The sequence below is a fragment of the Homo sapiens genome, chromosome X, assembly GCF_000001405.40.
Source record: "Homo sapiens chromosome X, GRCh38.p14 Primary Assembly".
Taxonomy (NCBI): domain Eukaryota; kingdom Metazoa; phylum Chordata; class Mammalia; order Primates; family Hominidae; genus Homo; species Homo sapiens.
The window spans coordinates 145,801,658-145,804,038 of NC_000023.11; the positions used below are offsets into that span (position 1 = coordinate 145,801,658).

General features: G+C 35.4%; 1 annotated feature.

The window, feature by feature from the left end:
• Window positions 1,276-1,859: an enhancer, noted in NCBI's record as "OCT4-NANOG hESC enhancer chrX:144884451-144885034 (GRCh37/hg19 assembly coordinates)". NCBI's record gives its function as "activates a minimal SCP1, AML or CMV promoter by ChIP-STARR-seq in naive H9 embryonic stem cells {active_cell/tissue: H9 hESC(naive)}" and the evidence as "EXISTENCE:reporter gene assay evidence [ECO:0000049][PMID:30033119]".

Below are 2,381 nucleotides of genomic sequence, written 5' to 3' on the forward strand. Positions count from 1 at the left end.
TTTTAAATTACTTTGCCTCCCACCTAAGAATAAGATTTTGGTTCCAGTTCTGTCAACTTATCCACAAGTGCCCCCACCACTTCTCTATCTGCCTAGATCTCTAGCTTAAGCTCTGCCTATGCTATGACCTGTTTTGTCTTTAGGCAGCTTGACCACCTCTCCCTTCTACTTGAATCCACAATGACCTGGGAGGCTACAGTTTTGCCGTACATCAGGCACACAATTCCAAGAGCTTCCTAAGTGATTCAGTGGGGGGAGTTATCAGGTACTGGGGGCGGGAGAATGAGAAAGATGCTATAATCACTCCTTTCTCAAATTATAGCACATCACAACTCAACTTTGTGCCATGTGCATGTGATAAAGTGACAAAAAGTTTTCTCAAGTAGCTCACTTAAGCTCATAGTCTACTCTCCTTTGTAATCAACCATCTCTGTTTTTTTTATGACTATAAATATTCTCCTAATTTTAAGAAAAGCCAATAGACTTTCACAGCCAGGCATTTCCATTTACACTTAAGTACATTTCTCCATATAATCTTTAACTATCGAGTTGGTTAAGGAAGAAAATAGAAGTATTAAACCCTCCACAGGGAAACAGTAGCAAAATAGTAAAAATAAATGGATTTAAGAAAAGCAGCAGACTTGGCAACTGAAATATTGCTCATCATGAAGACTTTCTCTGACTTTATTATTCATTACTAACGTAGCCTCTTTTTGCTGCATATAGTATACCATATTGGAAATAAACACTCATTCTACTCATTCTATAACATGGTAAGAGAATGCGAATCATAAATCTTATTAGTAAATCCCAGTAACTTTTAGTCATTTAATACTAAAAAATTAAACACAATATTCTCTTTGTTATTTTGCATCATGATTTAAAACAAGAAATACAATTATAAAAAAAGTTTAGTTTAACTATAAGCCATAAGAACTCTTCCCTTACATATTTTAAGCATAATTAATATTTTAAAAACATTTTGGAATTGCATAAATATTTCTATTTTCTTCTTGGAAATGAATTCTATCCATCAATAACTTATACCAGTTGTATTATAATCTGCCTACCAAAATGCCAATTCAAATTCCACTGCAAGGAAGGCCAGAATTAACTGGTAAAAAAGAGTTAAATAAATATACTTCTATTACAAGAACATAAAATAAGACAAACATCTAATTATCAAAGTATTTCTAAGCATTTTCCTCATCTGGTAATAAAGATAATGCTGCCTTTTAGATGTGTTTGGAGCAATAAAGGAGATTATGTATATCAAGCATGTTGCAATGGGACTAGAATAGACATTTAATAGAAATAGCAGTTGTATCATCATTGGAAACCTAGTGCCCCAAGTTTCTAGCTTTCTAGAAATCACCTTTCTTAAACATCTAAGTAAAATAACTTGCAACTTCACCCCAGTGACCATGAGTAATATAGAGCCCTCCTGTGTATTCTGAATGATTCCTGAAGAGTATGAATTTATCTGTTCCACTTGTTTCTTTTGGTTCCATACTGCTGCTTCCAGTGTCTCTGGATCACTCCTGAATCTCATCTATCTGCTTACCATTAAGTCAAGCCACACCAGCTCTCAAAAACTTCTGTCTGAATGCAACAGTAGCGTCCCTTTCTCCCCTCCCCAAGGTAGTGTTAACACGAGCCTGCGATCAGGTTTGGTGGTTAACACATTGTACTGGAAATTTGAGAATTTTGTAAGAATATTACAATTCAGAAAGGAAAATTTAGCTTAATATCAGAAATAGCTGCTCCCAAAACCCACAGGACACATAACAATATGTAGGGTCTCTTGCAAGCCAGCTGCTAGAGTTTCTTCTCCTGATATCTTTCTCTTGAATACATTTGTCCTAGGTCAGGCCAGAGGAAATAGAAAATCTCTAGATATCAACAAGGGCTTGGATTCCCAACCCCACACCCCTACCAAAAGTATATCTTTATATTATTAGAATAAGTTAGCATCCCACTGTGATTTATTTACACTTAGATTACTTTCAATATCAAAGGACAAAGAATAAGTACTTAACATTCTTCTGCATGACAATAAGGCTCACAAGTAATCCCTTCTAGAAGGACGAGAAAGGCACAGCCCCATTTTTACTTTTCCAGCCCCAGGAAGCTAATTTCCTGCAATTTTGGAAAAGCAGTTTTATCCCTACTACCAGTCATCAAAGAATCAGAAATATCGAGGTTCTGTCTTGGACCACCTCACTACAATATGAGTAACATTATGAGGTCTTGCCAGACAATTTCAGCAAATGGATTTTTAAAAAATCATTTAAAATTAGTACATTAACTGTTTTTATGCAAATAGGAGCTGCCAAGTTTCAATTAGGAAGCAGTTGGTTGCTAAAGTAAGCCAACAATTA